The sequence below is a fragment of the Homo sapiens genome, chromosome 4, assembly GCF_000001405.40.
Source record: "Homo sapiens chromosome 4, GRCh38.p14 Primary Assembly".
Lineage (NCBI taxonomy): Eukaryota > Metazoa > Chordata > Mammalia > Primates > Hominidae > Homo > Homo sapiens.
This window is the reverse complement of record NC_000004.12, coordinates 185224835-185244153: the sequence shown is the minus strand read 5'-3', so window position 1 is coordinate 185244153 and position 19319 is coordinate 185224835. Positions and strand designations below refer to the sequence as shown.

The window sequence follows — 19319 nt, the reverse complement described above, 5'->3', positions numbered from 1 at the left end:
TGGTGGCAGGCACCTGTAGTCCCAGCTACTCAGGAGGGTGAGGAAGGAGGTCTGACTGAGCCCAGGAGATGCAGGCTGCGGTGACCCAGGACTGCACCACTGCACTCCAGCCTGGGCAACATAGCAAGACACTGTCTCAAAAAAAAGAAAGAAAGGAGTTGTTCCTGAATTTGAGTTCTTAAAATGGAAACTGCCTGTAAGGGCTGGGTATGAATATGACTGACAGTACATGCATATCTGAAGCATATTCTTTGGATATGTGTCTATCTTTATAACTTCCTTCAAAACTTTTAATTTTTTATTCTTATTTTTTATCTTCCTAGTTACAGATCTACTACCTCTTGCCCTGTGTCTGTATATTTCTTTTATCTCACTACTTCATACTTACATGTAACATGCAAACATATGTTTGTCACTACTGACTACATCTGAATAAGGCCTTTCATTTATTTAATGATAAAATGGTGGTTTCTCTAAGAGCTAGGGGAAGGGGAGAATGGTGAGTTAATGTTTAATGGGTATAGAGTTTCAGTTTGGGGGTTTTTTTGTTTTTTGATAGGGTCTCACTGTGCCACCCAGGCTGGAGTACAGTGGTGCAATCTTGGCTCACTGTAGCCTCAATCTCCCGGCTCAAGCAATCCTTCCCCCTCAGCCTCCTGAGTAGCTAGAACTACAAGTGTGTGTCCCGCTATGTTTTAAGTTTTTTGTAAAGATGGGAGTTTCCCCATGTTGCCCAGGTTGGTCTTGAACTCCTGGCCTCAAGCGATCCTCCCACCTAGGCCTCCCAAAGTGCTGGGATTACAAGCATGAGTCACCATGCCTAGCAGAGTTTCAGCTTTACAAGATGAAAAGAGTTATGGAGATAGATGGTGGCAATGGTTGCACAACATTATAAATGCATTTAGTATCACTGAACTGTATACTCAAAAATGGTTCAGACAGCAAATTTTATAAGTATTTTACCATAATAAAAATCAAATTGCAAGGGAGATGGGTTTATGAGAATAATGTTTTCTATTTTAGCTCTATTTAAGCAAAACCCCTACCTATTATTCTTTCAATCTGATTTTCCAATCTGGTTCTGAAGTTCCCACATCCCACCCGCTAGGAATCACTGGCCCTTACTAGAAAGAAAACAGTTCTTTTTTCCTATCCCATCCCCATAGCCTGATGGAGAATCTGTAAGCCAGGAGAACAGGAAAGAGAAAAAAACACCTCATGGGCCAAAAATAACTGGGTTACTATGTGCAGTGTTATGATATATATTGGTTTTCATCCAGGGTTCCTGGCTCCTAACTCCCACAGCCCTTGTTACAGTCTTTTGTTATAATGTTGGGTGTGTCGGGCCTCGGGGGCAAGTCTCTGACCTTTTTCTGCCCTCCTTCTACTCTCAGGGGCCCCTGCCTCTCTGACTGTGGGTCTTAGGACCCTCCCATCAGAGATCCCACCCTATACTCTAGAGGAAGGAAAGCTCCAGAGGACAGGGCTCAGTGAGCTTCGGGACAGCTGAACATGTGAGGTTCCTGGAGGGTGGTGCCCAGGGAGGGCATGAAAGCTCCGCACCCCTCCCCCATACCTCACCGTAGCATTTCTTCATCTGCATCCTTTGCAATATCTTCTACAATAAACCAGTAAATGTAAGTAAGCGTTTCCCTGAGTTCTGTGAGCTGCTCCAGCAAATTAACTGAACCCAAAGGGGGCTCATGGGCACCTCAAATTGAAGCTGGTTGGTAAGAAATTCCAGCAGCCCAGACTTACAGACTGACGTTGGGGGTGGGGGGTTGAGGGCTCTTGGGGACTGAGCTTCACTTAATCTATGGGCTCTGACACTGTCTCCAGGTAGACGATGCTGGAACAATTAGAGGACACCCAGCTGGTGTCCGCTTGCTTGGTGTGTGGGGAAAAAAACCCCACACATTTGGTCACAAAAATCTTCTATGTTTATGTTTGTTGTGGTATGAAAGTAGAGGAAAAAGTTTTCTGTACACATTCTGCATGGAAATTCCTTTTTACGGATTTAATATTTCTGAAGCCAGAATCTCCTCATGTCTGAATGAGCAGCCACTACATACTCTTATTTCTTTCAGGTCAAAAGGGTAGAATCCACTAATCATTTTCCCCAAGATGAAATTTCAGAAAAAAAGAGAAAGAAGCTAATGAAAATTCAACAAATTTAAAACATGAATAAATTCCTGTGGCTCTGAGGATAACCAAACAATAATTGTCTTCATTCTCCTATTTATAGGTTTGAAAAAAAGAAACTTCACAAGGCAGATTTCCCCAAAGACTTACTCTATTATGCTAGCATAGGCTTCAGGTAAAGACAACCTCTTCCTGACAATCATCTTCCTAAAATGCCTGTTTTAGGAAAGATGAAAGAAAAATACGTGTACTTTGCCCACTGTCACAAAGGATAACTGATAATCTTCAGTATCCTGGTCCAGAAACGAGGACAGGGTACTCTACTCTTGCTTTAAGTTTTCAGTATGCGTATCACAATATTAACTCATAAAAGCTCTTGGTGAACCAGACCGCTATCCTGTAAAAAAAAAAATACACCTGTCCTCCTCTCCCTCTCCCTCCTCTCCCTCTCCCTCCTCTCCCTCTCCCTCCTCTCCCTCTCCCTCCTCTCCCTCTCCCTCTCCCCACGGTCTCCCTCTCCCCACAGTCTCCCTCTCCCTCTCTTTCCACGGTCTCCCCGATGCCGAGCCAAAGCTGGACTGTACTGCTGCCATCTCAGCTCACTGCAACCTCCCTGCCTGATTCTCCTGCCTCAGCCTGCCGAGTGCCTGCGATTGCAGGCGCGCGCCGCCACGCCTGACTGGTTTTCATATTTTTTTGGTGGAGACGGGGTTTCGCTGTGTTGGCCGGGCTGGTCTCCAGCTCCTAACCGCGAGTGATCCGCCAGCCTCGGCCTCCTGAGGTGCTGGGATGGCAGACGGAGTCGCGTTCACTCAGTGCTCAATGGTGCCCAGGCTGGAGTGCAGTGGCGTGATCTCGGCTCGCTACAACCTCCACCTCCCAGCTGCCTGCCTTGGCCCCGCAAAGTGCCGAGATTGCAGCCTCTGCCCGGCCGCCACCCCGTCTGGGAAGTGAGGAGCGTCTCTGCCTGGCCGCCCATCGTCTGGGATGTGAGGAGCCTCTCTGCCTGGCTGCCCAGTCTGGAAAGTGAGGAGCGTCTCTGCCCGGCCGCCATCCCATCTAGGAAGTGAGAAGCATCTCTGCCAGGCCGCCCATCGTCTGAGATGTGGGGAGCGCCTCTGCCCTGCCGCCCCGTCTGGGATGTGAGGAGCGTCTCTGCCCGGCCGCCCCGTCTGAGAAGTGAGGAGACCCTCTGCCTGGCAACCGCCCCGTCTGAGAAGTGAGGAGCCCCTCCGCTCGGCAGCCACTCCGTCTGGGAAGTGAGGAGCGTCTCCGCCCGGCAGCCACCCCGTCTGGGAGGGAGGTGGGGGTCAGCCCCCCGCCCGGCAGCCGCCCCGTCCGGAAGGGAGGTGGGGGGGTTAGCCCCCCGCCCAGCCAGCCGCTCCGTCCGGGAGGTGAGGGGCGCCTCTGCCCGGCCGCCCCTACTGGGAAGTGAGGAGCCCCTCTGCCCGGCCAGCCGCCCTGTCCAGGAGGGAGGTGGGGGGGTCAGCCCCCCGCCCAGCCAGCCGCCCCATCCGGGAGGTGAGGGGCGCCTCTGCCCGGCCGCCCCTACTGGGAAGAGAGGAGCCCCTCTGCCCGGCCAGCCGCCCCATCCGGGAGGGAGGTGGGGGGGTCAGCCCCCCGCCCGGCCAGCCGCCCCGTCCGGGAGGTGAGAGGCGCCTCTGCCCGGCCGCCCCTACTGGGAAGTGAGGAGCCCCTCTGCCCGGCCACCACCCCATCTGGGAGGTGTACTCAACAGCTCATTGAGAACGGGCCATGATGACAATGGCGGTTTTGTGGAATAGAAAGGGGGGAAAGGTGGGGAAAAGACTGAGAAATCGGATGGTTGCCATGTCTGTGTAGAAAGAGGTAGACATGGGAGACTTTTCATTTTGTTCTGTACTAAGAAAAATTCTTCTGCCTTGGGATCCTGTTGATCTATGACCTTACCCCCAACCCTGTGCTCTCTGAAACATGTGCTGTGTCCACTCAGGGTTGAATGGATTAAGGGTGGTGCAAGATGTGCTTTGTTAAACAGATGCTTGAAGGAAGCATGCTCGTTAAGAGTCATCACCACTCCCTAATCTCAAGTACCCAGGGACACAAACACTGCGGAAGGCCGCAGGGTCCTCTGCCTAGGAAAACCAGAGACCTTTGTTCACTTATCTGCTGACCTTCCCTCCACTATTGTCCTGTGACCCTGCCAAATCCCCCTCTGCGAGAAACACCCAAGAATGATCAATAAAAAAAAAAAAAAAGAAAAAAAAAATACACCTTATTTTCTATTTAAATAAGTGAAAAACACACACAAAAAAAAACCGAAACAAAAAAAAAGAAAGCAAAGCATAAAAAAGATTTAAAAAACAACAACAAAAATAAAATAAAGTTTTGTCTTCATTTTAAGATTTAAACCTATTTGAAAACAACGTATCAAGATCATTTTTAATCACCCAGTGAGTTTTTCTGCAGAGAGAGAAAATTTTAAGAACATTTTCAGAGTATTTTTCTAAAGACAGAGCAAAACTTGAAAGCTTTTATTTTTTTTCTTTTTGAGACGGAGTCTCACTCTGTTGCCAGGCTGGAGTGCAGCGGTGCGATCTCAGCTCACTGCAAGCTCCGCGTCCTGGGTTCAAGCCATTCTCCTGCCTCAGCCTCCCGAGTAGCTGGGACTACAGGTGCCCACCACCACGCCCGGCTAATTTTTTGCATTTTTAGTAGAGACGGAGTTTCACCGTGTTGGCCAGGATGGTCTCGATCTCCTGACCTCAAGTGATCTGCCCGCCTTGGCCTCCCAAAGTGCTGGGATTACAGGTGTGAGCCACCGCGCCTGGCAGAAAACTTTTCTCTAATATATGTGACAGATCCTCAGCATGAAAAAGCATGTACGTTTTATCAATAAACCCTTTTCTGAATATATATCAGCTTTCTGTTTACTCCAGAGTACCAGCCGTAATGCGCTCAAACTGTCTTTGTGTCAAGGCTACTACAGACCCTCTTATGAGGAAACAACATCTAGAGAGAAGCCAGGCAGAGAAACCTGAGTACTCACACCAGAAGCAACTGAACAATCAGGAACTCCCTGGAATCCAGCCAACATACACACCTCATTGTCCACTGTTTTTAAGTAGGACACTGCTCACTGGGAGCCAGGGCAGCCAACCTGTAACGTGCAATTTTCTTCATGCCTATTACCTGGTCTTCTCAAATAAACAAGTGTCTCTCACCTCCATTACATACATTTAAAAGTTTGATGTATTTTTGGTGCTATTTTGAAAAGGAAAACAGTTGTACAGAGTTCAAGGGGTGACAGGTGTAATATCCTATAAAGCTACTGAAATGGTTCATCTTACAAAAGCAAACACAAACTCCCCAAAAATCATCATTAACCACATGGAGCCGTCCCATGGCTGAGTCTCTCCAAGTATATGCAGCATCTGACAATCTACTGGGATCTCATGACTAATACTCTCATTCTTAAACTATGATAGTCTCAAAACCAGGACCTCTTTCGAAACAACGATATTCTGCCTCAGCCTCAAAGACTAATTTATTCAAAACCAAAGAAATGAAGAAAATATGCATATCCCTCCTCAGAAGGATGAGAAGGGACTAAGAAACTTCAAAGGCCACCTACACCTAATATGATTAAGATTCTGACAAAAGATCATGACATGAGCAACAGTGTCACTCCCCACCTGGAAGCCAAGCAGCCGTGTTAAGAGAAAGAACACAGGCTCCCATGGCAGGCGGGCTCCACTCTGCCATTTACTAATGGTAGGTCCTTGACCCAGCCACTCCCCTCTCTAGCTTGCTTATTATGTGGGCTAATATGCCTCAGGAGGATCAAATAAATAATATCAGGGATCTAAAAAAAGATGATAGGGGCCTGACAAGGACTCTAAATGTGTGAAGGGGATTGCAACTACTGTGCTGAGAGGTGCTCTAAATTTTTTTTTTTTTTTTTTTTTTTGAGATGGAGTCTCGCTCTGTAGCCCAGACTGGAGTGCAGTGGTGTGATCTCGGCTCACTGCAACCTCCGCCTCCTGAGTTCAAGTGATTCTCCTGCCTCAGCCTCCTGGGTAGCTGGGACTACAGGTACGTGCCACCACGCCCGGCTAATTTTTGTATTTATAGTAGAGACGGGGTTTCTCCATGTTGGCCAGGCTGGTCTCGAACTCCTGACCTCAGGTGATCCGCCCACCTCGGCCTCCCAAAGTGCTGGGATTACAGGCACGAGCAACCAACCATACCCGGCCTGATTTTTTTTTTTCCAACAACAACACCAAAAAAAAAAGTCATGAATTTTGGACGATATCTCCAACTAATTCAACGTTATTACAAACTCTGCAGGCTGCCACTGTTTGGGCTAAACTTTGAGCCATGTTCAAGCCGTGGGCGTCTAGTCTGTAATGGCTGCTCTCACAAAGCTCTTAGAGCGCCCACCAGACAGTATCACAAATACAACTCAAAATGTTTACCAACTTCCAACAAATCCAAAGTGGGTTGATTGAGGGGTTTTCTAAAGGCACAGGAATGGCAGAAATAAAAGCACGGAGGGGTTGAAAAGTTAAGCAACCAGTAAGACACAGCATAACAGAGCACATAATTCTTGAAGTATTTTTGCCTTTGAGGATGTGCTTTACAGAGAGGAAAGCGCACATTCCCTGGAGATGTTTTGCTGTGACGTAAAGCATTTAAGTATCCAAACAAAACCTGGTTTGACAGTTTCCTGAGTTGTGCTTTTATTGTGCTGAACCATGAACTAAAGAATATCTTACTTTCCTTATCAAAAAAAACAGAAAATTGTTAACATGATACTGAGAGGTTATCATTTAGGGAGAGTGTATTAATAGAAAATAGTGGATTTGTGCCTTTTTTTCCCTCTTAGTCAAGCACAATTTCTACTTTAGATACAGGAAGGAGCAGCTATTCTTTAAAATTCAACCTACAAGTTTTCTCATATTACTGTTTTCCTAAATTTCAAAAATGCTATAATTTCTTTTTAAACTGTTATTTCCAATTACATAAACAGCAGAAATACATTCTCTATTATAGATGTAAGGAATTAAACTGACTCATAATGATGATCCAGATGATCACTAATAACATTTTGGTACATTTCCTTCTTGTCAGTGATTCCAACACTTACTATGTAACCTTGGGCAAGTTACTTTTCCATACCTCACTTTCCTCATACGTAAAATAGATAACAATAGTACCTACCTCACAAAATTGATATGAGCATTAATTAACACACACCAAGTACTGTAACAATGTCTGACAACAATAAATTATTGGTAACTTTTTCATCTGTATACTTTTTAAAAGAAATTGGGATCATGGTATACATACAACTTTGCATCTGGCTGTTTACACTCAGTATTTTATCATGAATATCTTTTATAATAATAAAAGACTCAGACAATGTTTTGAATAGCTTATATCATAATTTATTCTCTTATTCTATATTTAGTTTGTCTCCATCTTTTTTTTCTATTTAAATAAAAAATGTGGCCACTGTTATGCTACTGGTACCACCAAAAATGTTCTAAATCATACTAAAAGCGTCTATAAAATATATAGGTGGATTTGGACTCTGACTTGATTCAAAAGATTAAATGCCTCAAGAATTTTCTTTTGCTTCACAGGGGAGTCTTTTTTTTCTTCAGTCAGGGTCTCACTCTGTTGCCCAGGCTGGATGGAGTGCAGTGGCACAGTCATGGCTCACTACAGCCTCAAACTCCTGGGTACTATAGGAGATTGGTCAGGGTGGTGGGAAAAGTTATAAAAAGTTATAGGGAAAGATGCAAACCTTCTTGGAAGGCCAGGAGGTTTTGCAAAACTTCGGGAGAGAATAAAGCTGAAGGCAGCTAATTCTCTTACCCTGAGGCAGAGGGTGAGAAGTAGGTGCAAGGGAATGTAGAGGAGTTTATCTAGATAAGTTTATTTACTTATGTTGCCCGGAAACCGACCTTAGATCATCCGCACACCAGACTGCTCCCTGCAAGGGGGGACAACAATGTTAATTACCACAGATTGTGTTGACTCCAGGCCTCTGTCAGTACATCTGTACTGAACATAGACAAGCGGCTCTGGTTTATCAGGACTGCACTCTCTCTTCGGCCCCTAGCCACACTCATGCAGAATACCTGCATCTGCATATTCCTTTCATCCCTTGCTCAGCCAGGGTCTGCAGGACAGTCTCCGCAGGGCTCAAGCAATCCTCCCACCTCAGCCTCCCAAACAGCTGTGACTACGGGTGTGTACACCAATCCCAGCTAATTTTTTATTTTTATTTTGTTTGTAGACACAGGGGTCTCACTATGTTGCCCAGGCTGGTCTTGAACTCATGTCCTCAAGCAATCCTCCCACCTTGGTTTCACAAAATGTTGGGATGATAGTTGTGAGCCACTGCAACTGGCCAAAAGGCGAGTCTTCTATCGGCTGAGAAGAAACCGAAGGAACAAAGGAGAGAATGGGGTGGGAGGTGAGGTACTCTCAGCTTTTCTGGCCTTGAAGCACGAATTATGCATAGGTGAACTGGAAAAATCCCTTTTCAGCCTCTTTGGCCAACCCTAAACCATGTCCCTTGAAAGCCCAGGTCCTCTGAGCAGGGCACCTCCAGAAGAAGAACTGAGTAATGAACAAGAGAGGCAGTGTGAAGGCACAGGTCAGGGCCTTCTATTCCCGAGGGGTACTTAGTAAGACCAACACAGCTTCCAAAAGCCTACATCTGTATCCTGATTTTACCTCACATGAACATAGAGAAAGATGAATGGCAGATTAGATCAGAAGCTTCTGTAGCTTATTACACCATGTATCAAAGTATGTTTTGTGTCCAGGCCAAAGGCCAACCATGCCTACATGCATCAAATGTATGATTCTGGTTCTGTTGCTACTTCCATAATGAAAGACAATTCTCTATTAAGATAGACCGAGAGACTACATCCTATGAAGGGATATGAAACCATTAGATCTTTTCTCTGAACAAATACGAAATTAAAATGTGCTTCATGCTGGGGCATAATCCCCTTATTATTACCATGACAAAAGCATATTACATCACATTAGAGTGGCAAAAGCATTCAGTTAAAACCCAGAATAAATGAAGCTGCAGTTGATTATTCCCCATTAACTTGCTGGGCTATGATGAACATGTCCACCTCTCTGAGAGTCACGTCAATGTAAAATAATAATGTCTGCACTATTTAAATTAATGAATTATTATGCATTTGAAGAAGGATAATATGCACATAAAAGTGCTTTAACAATTATAAAGCAGTTCAGAGATACAGGTTACTATTATGGTTCCAAAAGTCATAGCCTAAACTTTTTTTTTTTTTTTTTTTTTGAGACAGAGTCTCGCTCTGTCGCCCAGGCTGGAGTGCAGTGGCGCGATCTCGGCTCACTGCAAGCTCCGCCTCCTGGGTTCACGCCATTCTCCTGCCTCAGCCTCCCGAGTAGCTGGGACTACAGGCGCCCGCCACCACGCCCGGCTAATTTTTTGTATTTTTAGTAGAGACGGGGTTTCACCGTGTTAGCCAGGATGGTCTCGATCTCCTGACCTCGTGATCCGCCCGCCTCGGCCTCCCAAAGTGCTGGGATTACAGGCGTGAGCCACCGCGCCCGGCCAGCCTAAACTTTTTAACAACGTTAATTTCCTTTCCGAAAAATGATTATAGTTATATTACATGGGATTGATGTTATGACCTCTCATGCCGTCATATTTTACTTTCATAGCAGGTTCCTTTCGTAATGTTTCCTGGTGAATAACCTGCTTTCTAAAAGAAAAATAAGTATTAACACAAAGGCAAAATCTTCATTAAGTGATCAATAGAAGTAGATTTTGAGGTCGGTTAATAATACTTAGGTTGTTTTTGGGCATGGTGGCTCACACCTGTAAACCCAGCACCTTGGGAAGCTGAGGCGGGCAGATCACGAGGTCAGGAGATCGAGACCATCCTGGCTAACACGGTGAAACCCCGTCTCTACTAAAAATACAAACAAATCAGCAGGGCATGGTGGCAGGTGCCTGTAGTCCCAGCTACTCGGGAGGCTGAGGCAGGAGAATGGTGTGAACCCGGGAGGCAGAGTTTACAGTGAGCCAAGATCGCGCCACTGCACTCCAGCCTGGGCAACAGAGCCACACTCCATCTAAAAATAATAATAATAATAACACTTAAGTTGTTTTTCCATTCAATTGGAAGAATTAGATTCATGGGGAGAAAAAAGAGCTTTATCTCTAATTTCTAAGATTCAAATCTGAAGATCTTTACAAAACACACTCCATTTGATTACAAGAGAAATTTAAGTATATTTCAAATCAGACAAACACTTGAAAATTGAAATCAGAACATGTACTTGAAAATACACAGGCAGATAGCAGTTTGACTAAATTGGCAAGTAGAGAACGAATAGAAGCTAGAAAAAAAGAATGAAGAAAAGCAAACTGGCTTAGAAAAAGGTAACTGAAAACCCTGACAATAATTTTTGCATTTCTAAAAAAGTTTATATGATAAAAAAATTCTGTAACTATTTTATCACTGGCTTCTATTGTAATTTTGAGTTCATAAGGGAAATCATAGGTTTCTATGATATGAATCATGTTTCCATCAGTTTATTCAATCATCTAACATTTACTGAGGACTCACTCTGGGTGCCTGGCACTTAGCTGGGTACTGGAGAGGGAACGGTAAATAAATTATGTTCTCTGTACTCACAGGGCTTCATTTATTCTTTTTTTTTTTTTAGACTAAGTCTCACTCTGTCACCCAGGCTGGAGTGCAGTGGTGCCATCTTGGCTCACTGCAACCTCTGCCTTCCAGGTTTCAAGTGATTCTCCTGCCTCAGCCTCCCAAATAGCTGGGACTACAGGCATGTGCCACCATGCCCAGCTAATTTTTATATTTTTAGTAGAGACGGGGTTTCACCATGTTGGCCAGGCAGGTCTCGAACTCCTGACCTCAGGTGATCCACCCGCCTCAGCCTCCCAAAGTGCTAGCATAACAGGTGTGAGCTACCACACCCAGCCTTGGCTTCATTTATTTTTGATGGAAACTCATAATCGGGTAGCTAATGAGCCATACCACCATGGAAGGCTGGGCTTAGGAATTCTAATATTCTTCCTATTCTGGCATGCTCTCTACATTTCACTTTCTAGCCCAGGTCACAGAAGATAAATTACTCAAGTATACAACCAATCTAAGAGAATTTTGAAGTTCATACATATTAAAGTATATTGGAAAAAGAATTCTCATGTCATAATAGTTCTCGCTGATAGCACTGAACATAAATGCTGAAGGAACCAGAAGAGCTGCCCCTGCTTTAAAGCTGTCCTGTAACTCAACAACTGGATGAGTCACGTTGAATTGCTTTTTTCACAGAGATCTTTAGTCATGAAATCAATCACTGTTTTGTACTCCATTACTGTCCTGGAATACCATAATGCCATTATCTTAGTTAATTTGTTAACTGTGAGGAAACATTTTAAATGGTCCATTTTTGAAGCATGATAAATCTAAGTACTGGTATCCGGCCTGTGGACATGACAAACTGCACGGCTCATGCACCTAGAAAGTCATGATAAGCAAACAGGATGCAGAGGAGGGGTCGGCCCATAAAAGGGAAGAAAATTGCATTATTGGGAAATTGAAACTTAAGCGGGGAAGGGGATGGATGGGGTATAACCTTATAAGGGGGATAATAAAACTTAGGCGATGTCCGGGAAGATTGTAACCCCGTAGTACTAGACCAATGAGGAACTGGGCAAGGGGACTTGTGTGCTAGGAGATAAATTACCTGCTGTAACTGTCCCAGGTGTGCCTGCCTACCAGACACCCCATCTTGCAAGACCACCATTAAAAGTCTCTCTTCTGCTGTTCTTCATGTCTCTGAGTCCATTCTTTGGGTTTAGACGGGTGAGTGTGTTTTTCACATTAACTAGCTTTTAAATAAAAACTGGTGATAAAATACTTAGAAAAAAATTACATTGGTAATTTGATTTACTGGGACCTCGACTTCCATAATTCCTTTGAAGTGAAAAGCTGGGCCCCACACCTAGCAGCCCAGATAGCATAAATGTGTCATATTAAGATATGGAATGAATTACTGCCATAAAAGACTAGCTGCATAAAGACAAAAATACAATGCAATTAAATCTACTCAAAGAGACAGACTTTTATATCCCTTTTAATTGATGAGTAAAAGTTATTTACTCCAGCCCAGATCTAGATCATACAAATTGCTTCTTCTGTTTCTATCTAAAATTCTAAAATAAATGTGTTGACATTCAAAGAATAAATCCTGCTTTTTTTTTTTTTTTGAAGATGGAGTCCCACTCTGTCGCCCAGGCTGGAGTGCAGTGGCGCCATCTTAGCTCACTGCAACCTCCACCTCCTGGGTTCACGCCATTCTCCTGCCTCAGCCTCCCGAGTAGCTGGGACTACAGGCGCCCACCATCAAGCCCAGCTAATTTTTTGTATTTTTAGTAGAGACGGGGTTTCGCAGTGTTGGCCAGGCTGGTCTTGAACTCCTGACTTCAAGTGATCTGCCTGCTTCGCCCTCCCAAAGTGCTGGGATTACAGGTGTGAGCCACCGCGTCCGGCCAATTTTGCTCTTAAAAGAAACAAGTTATTGGCCAGGCATGGTGGCTCATGCCTGTAATCCCAGCACTTTGGGAGGCCGAGGCGGGTGGATCACGATGTCAGGAGATCAAGACCATCCTGGCTAACACAGTGAAACCCCGTCTCTACTAAAAATACAAAAAAATTAGCCGGGCGTGGTGGCGGGAGCCTGTAGTCCCGGCTACTCGGGAGGCTGAGGCAGGAGAATGGCGTGAACCCAGGAAGCAGAGCTTGCAGTGAGCCGAGATCATGCCACTGCACTCCAGCCTGGGCGACAGAGCGAAACACTGTCTCAAAAAAAAAAAAAACAAAAAAAAGGAAAAAAGAAACATGTTATTAAGACAGGCCTTTGTGCGACAGCCATTCCACTAAGTAGAGAGGACTGAGCAATGCAGCCTGGTGCACGTGGATATATACATGTTAATATTAGACATGACTTAGTTTCCTTGGGCCTTGTTGACATCAGGAAGCCCCTATCTGTAACTTGAAAACATTCTAAATCAGTTTTCTTCAAGAATCACTTGGGGAATTTGTTCAAATGCAGATTTTTAGACACTATTCCCTTATATTCTTAATTCACAAAATTTAGGATATGTCTTTAGAGTAAGTATTGTATTTTTAACAACATTTCCTAAATTATTTCTGTGAACCCTCAGACTACACTTTAGGAAACACTGCGAACTGGTCCTGATGATAAAGATTATGATCCCTGGGCCAGGCGCAGTGGCTCACGCCTGTAATCCCAGCACTTTGGGAGGCCGAGGCAGGTGGATCACCTGAGGTCGGGAGTTCGAGACCAGCCTGACCAACATGGAGAAACCCTGTCTCTATTAAAAAAAAAAAATACAAAATTAGCCAGGTGTGTTGGCTCATGCCTGTAATCCCAGCTACTCGGGAGGCTGAGGCAGGAGAATTGCTTGAACCTGGGAGGCGGATGTTGCGTGAGCTGATATTGTGCCATTGCACTCCAGCCTGGGCAACAAGAGCAAAACTCTGTTGAGGAAAAAAAAAAAAAAAATTATGATTCCTGAAAAAAACAGAAGTGTGTTATTATTAGGAAAATCAGAAAGGTTTGTTTGAATGTAGAGTCATTCTTGGACTTTAGATTAACTAAAATGATAATTATAATATTTCATTTGTATGTTCATAAAGACAAGAGGCAGTATGAACTCTTTCTCTACAGAATTTTATTCCACAATGGTATTAACAAGCCATTAATCACTTTAAAAGGCAAGGAAAATCAGTTAAATGTATGAGAGGTAGTTTTAAATACAGTGCTTAGGCCAGGCACAGTGGCTCATGCCAATAATCCCAGCATTTTGGGAGGCTAAGGTGGGCCCTTGACTTGAGCCAGGAATTCAAAGCCCAGCCTGGGCAACATGGCGAAACCTCATCTCTACTAAAAATTTTAAAAATTGGCCAGGCATGGTGGCACGTCCCTGTAGTCCCAGCTACTCAGGAGGCTGAGGTGGGAGGATCACCTGAGCCCAGGTAGTCGAGGCTGCAGAGAGCCATGATTGCATCACTGCACTCCAGCCTGGGTGACAGGAGTGAGACCCTGTCTCTAAATAAATAAATAAATATAGTACTTGAATCAAAAATCATTTATTTTCCTGGAATGGTCTACACTATGTAGAGGCGATAAATAAACCCATTCTTGGAAATTTAACATGGTTAAAACCTACTCCTCTAAAGAAGAAACAATTCTCCTTCCCAATACCTGACTTCTGTAGCGTTTAGTCAGCAAAACTGTGCCTGAGCACAGCCACAAGAGAATGGCCTGAATGACGCTGGCACACCCAGAGACAGCCGTGGGCAAATCAACAGATGGCAACACCCATTCTACCCACCCTCAGCCTCCTCAACTCCCTCTGATTTAATAATGGATAATGCAATCTTCCTTTAACATTTTACCAGAGAACTTCTGGGGGCAATTCCTTCAGTCAATGAGAAAAAAGACAACAGACATAGAACATGGGGCAGATTCCACCCACACCGCAACTGGACCTCCTCACCTCCAGCAACCCTCATCTCCACTCCACGGCGCTCGCCCATTCTCACGGCCACATGGAAGGCTTTTGCATGCCAGCAGATAGGAGGCCTCGCAGGCCTCTGACCCTTCCCTTCTCTCCAAGCTCTCAGCTTCCTCCCGGCCTCGGCTCCTCCCTTGGCTTGATGAGGTGTGGGCAGCTCTCATTAAACATTCTTGTGCCCTGGCCCTCTGTCGTACCACGCCCACAGATGAGATCTCCACTGCTTCACTCCAGGAGTGTTAGTGTTCCACCTACAAAAATTCCACAACCACACCGCGGGCGTTGCTAGTCTTTCATGGCCTCCAACTTCACATCTTGGCCCTTAACTCCTCAGCACTCAGCCCACGTACCTTTGCGATGCTGCTTCTCCCTTATGAGACAGCAGAGCACAGAGATCAAGAGGGCTGGCTCTCCTGTCAAAGAAAGCCTGGCACCATCCCAGCTAGCTCTGTCACCTTTAGCTAGTCACCCCATCTCTCTAAACCTGCTTCCTGATCCATACAATGGGGATAACAGTAGCTTTCTCATAGGATAACTGTGAAGGTTCAATGAGAATGTAAAGTGCCTAGTGAAATGCTTGGTTCACAATGAGGGCCCAATAAACGGTTCTGCTCTTATTCTCTCCAATGATGTTTTTTCCAAACCTTTTATCGCCTCTCTTAAAATTACCCTGTACAGGCACAGCACAGTGGCTCACACCTGTAATCCTGGCACTCTGGGAGGCTGAGGCAGGAGGACTGCTTGAGGTCAAGAGGTAAAGGCTGCAATGAGCCACAATCCTCCTCTGCACTCTAGCCTGGGCTATAGAGCAAGATGCTGTCTAAAAAAAATAAAATAAAAATAAAAAAATTATCCTCTACACGTTATCATAGTTCTCACTATCAGTAATTAATTTCGTCTCCCGCTTACCAAAATATTTGAGACTATCCAGCTTGAAATACCTTAATTCCCTGCCAACCTCCACGAAGTTCTCTCCATGTGCCCCCATTTTTATCTCCTACTAAAGTCGAATGCCCCCACCTATGCTCTGATCCTGCCCCCCAGGCATGTCTCCATCAATTACAATCTATCTCTGAGATGTTCAGGCCCTTCCTCTCTACTTTTCCATCTTTCCCTTAACCTAAAAATGTGCTTAAATATCTCTCCCTGACAACAACAAAAATCCCATAACACACACTCCCCTCTAGGTACCACTTTCTCTTCTGGCCTTCTCAGCCAGGCTTCTACAGAGCACAGGCCACACACTGTAAACCTCTCCAGTCCCACCCCCAAACCACACTGGCATGGACCTCCAAAGGCCTCCCAGTTGCCAAGTCCGGGGCACACCCTCGGTCCTCCCTCTGCACCTCTCTGCCCCACTGGATACTGTTGGCCATCTGCTCCCTCTTACTCTCTGAGCTTCTCTCTTCATCTCACGGCCTCTAAATGCTCTTTCTCTCCTTGGTGGGCTGCTCCTCCCTTGCCTGCGCTTGGACTCGCTGCTTCTCAGCCATCCTACTGCTCTCGGCAGTCTCATTCCCCTGTAGCCTTAACTGTCACGTGTACACTGACCACCAACAAATTGACCTGCTTAACCCTGATCTCTCCTGCAAACTGCACGCCTGCAGACCTAGCCGCCAGCTGGACAGATCCACAGGCATCTCAAAATCTACATGGCCAACATGTACCACATCCTTAAATCCCACCGTCCCAAACCTGCACAAAGGGCACCTGTACACATTTAACCCCCAAGCCAGAAACCTGGAATTACCTAGATCTCTCCCTCTCCTGCCCACAATAAATGCATGCTTACTGAGCAGAAACGAAGAACATAATGAAGCTGCCTGGATGGAAGGGCAATTGAGCTGGACCTTTAACAAGTAGAGCTGAACATACAAAAATGCAGGCAAAGTCCTTCCCGGGTGAATGCACACCCACCCAATGGTAAACTCGGGAACAGCAAGTAGTTCAGCTTGAAGAAGAGGAATACAAGTGAAGGCTAAAAAGGTAAGGCAGCCCTGTCTTGAAGACCTTGACACAGGCCAAGTGTTGTGAACCCACAACCTCCCTCCTCTCTAAGTGACTGGCCTAGTTCTCCACACAATGAGGTAAGGGAAACAAAACAAGAAAGATAAATGACTGGCCTAGGCCAATGACAGAAATCCTGTCCCCCATGCCAACAACGGGTAACAAACGGGCACCTGCCCAAACCTGGCCAGTAAGATGTGAGGGGAACACTGCCAGAAGCATTTCTGAGCACATTTTCCTTGCTCCAAAAAGGGACTTTCTTCTTCTGGGTATCATCCTGCGTGGCTGTGGTGCCTAAAACTGATACAGTCACCTGGTCAACAGCCCGCAAGCTCTTCCGACTCACGGGGCTAAAAAACACAGAGAAATGGTCCTGGAGGCTCAATGGTCTCCACATGGAGCCTGCCCTAGCCCTGAGCTTGTCCTCTCTCTGGACTGTGTATTCTTTCTTAAGAGAATACATCTCCTTATTGTTAAAAATAAAAGGAAGGGGATACAGGAATCAGTCATGTTTACAAAACATTGGATTAAAAAGCTAAGCAGATTTCTTTACAGTAGGATTTCTTACAATGTTAATTTAATAACACATGTTGTAAAGCTTTAAGAATTAGTTTTTCCAAGGCACAGTGTGGTGGCTCATGCCTGTAATCCCAGCACTTTGGGAGGCCAAGGTAGGAGGATCACTTGAGCCCAGGAGTTCAAGACCAGCCCGGGCAACATAGTGAGACCTTGTCTCTACAAAAAGTTTAAAAATTAGCAGGGCGTGGTGGCACATGCCTGTAATCCTATCTACTCAGGAGGTTGAGGTGGGAGGACTGCTTTAGTCCAGGAGGTCAAGGCTACAGTGAGCTATAATTGTGCCACTGCACCCCAGCCTGGGCAACACAGTGAGACCCTGTCTCAAACAAACAACAACAAAAAATTTAGTTTTTTCAGACTTATGTGACCACCAAACTAGCCTCCCAAGCTTCCTCTTCTTTGTTTTTGCAGTGTACCTAAAAGCATCTCCCAGAACTAAGTGTTAATGAATCACAGTTTGGGAAACACTGATTTTTACCAGAGAGACTAAAAAAGTATATGCCTGGCTGTTATAATGCAGTGATGACAGAGTAATACAGCCGCAGAAAAAGTGATCGCAGAATCCAAAAGGCACCACCGCCATTCTACTAGGTTCTCACTCAAAATGCCTGATGGGTTTCACGCTATGTGCCAACTCGGTGAATTTTCAGCGGCTGCCTGGAATGCTGTATTGAGAGAGAGTCTGCAGTCACAACCAGGTGCCTTACTTGATTAGTAAAGATCCTCCTGAGCACAGAAGGGACAGCTGTGACATCATTCAAGTTCATTCTGAGACCTCTGAAGTGACATTAAGTCCTAAGCAGATCCTAGAATCATCCCAAAGCTTCCCAAGTTGTTTTAAATCTGAATCAGGCCAGACTAATTTTTAATAATTAAAAGGGTAATAAAGTGTTTAAGTGTGTAGACTCCAGAGTTAATTAAGAGAGACGTGGGTTTAATTCTTAGTTTTTTCACTGATTTTATAGCCTGAGCACATGGTTTAACCTCACTAAACCTCAGTTTTCCCATCCACAACATGAGAATAACAGTCCCTACCTCCCATGATTGATGTAAGAATTAAACTGGGTAACGTAATGCAGTTAATACACCTGCAAACAGCAGGTGCAAGAAATGTTAAGTTTAGCTCTACCCATTACTAAGGGATTCACTTCACGACGTTCACATTACATAACTCCTGTAATACACCTATTTGTCCACTGTATTCATAGCCATAGATTACAGTGAAATCAATCAAACTGGGGCCACAGGAATGATTTCCCTGAACCCATTAACAATGCCAACATATGCCATGCTAAGCAAATGACATAGAGGATTACAAAGCAGTGTTCAAAGGAAGTGTCACTGGCCTTTAAGAAGAGAGAATATACTGGCCGGGTGCGGTGGCTCACGCCTGTAATCCCAGCACTTTGGGAGGCCGAGGTGGGCGGATCACGAGGTCAGGAGATCGAGACCATACTGGCTAACACGGTGAAACCCCATCTCTACTAAAAATACAAAAATTAGCTGGGCGTTAGCCCGAGTAGTGGGCGCCTATAGTTCCAGCTACTCAGAAGGCTAAGGCAGGAGAATGGTGTGAACCTGGGAGGTGGAGCTTGCAGTGAGCCGAGATGGCGCCACTGCACTCCAGCCTGGGCAACAAAGCGAGACTCCATCTCAAAAAAAAAAAAAAAAAAGAAGACATAGAATATAAAAATCTAACTACTGGGTGATTGTGTTTTGCAATACATAGATCTCATATGTATTTTTTTCAGATCCTTCCATAGAGGAAGTCAAGAAACAATGACCAGTCCAATAGCAACAAGCCTCCCTGACACTCTGAATGACTTCTTGAAATGCCATTTCCCACTTTAAAAAAACAAACAGGGCTCCTCTTGGAGAAATGGTTAATTCCAGATATAAGCAGAAGACATTCAAAATGAGCCTGAAACATTTTGTTATACCACATAGCAAGAAAACA

At 45.1% G+C, this 19319-nt stretch overlaps 1 protein-coding gene across 11 annotated transcripts in view, besides 2 other annotated features; it reads right to left on the bottom strand.

Annotated features, from left to right (window-relative positions):
• SNX25 (sorting nexin 25) overlaps positions 1–19319 on the bottom strand; it is a 174406-nt gene that overhangs the window by 134489 nt on the left and 20598 nt on the right. The window lies entirely within an intron of this gene.
• Positions 2447–3438: an enhancer, noted in NCBI's record as "H3K27ac-H3K4me1 hESC enhancer chr4:186161870-186162861 (GRCh37/hg19 assembly coordinates)". NCBI's record gives its function as "activates a minimal SCP1, AML or CMV promoter by ChIP-STARR-seq in primed H9 embryonic stem cells {active_cell/tissue: H9 hESC(primed)}" and the evidence as "EXISTENCE:reporter gene assay evidence [ECO:0000049][PMID:30033119]".
• Positions 3439–4431: an enhancer, noted in NCBI's record as "NANOG-H3K27ac-H3K4me1 hESC enhancer chr4:186160877-186161869 (GRCh37/hg19 assembly coordinates)". NCBI's record gives its function as "activates a minimal SCP1, AML or CMV promoter by ChIP-STARR-seq in primed H9 embryonic stem cells {active_cell/tissue: H9 hESC(primed)}" and the evidence as "EXISTENCE:reporter gene assay evidence [ECO:0000049][PMID:30033119]".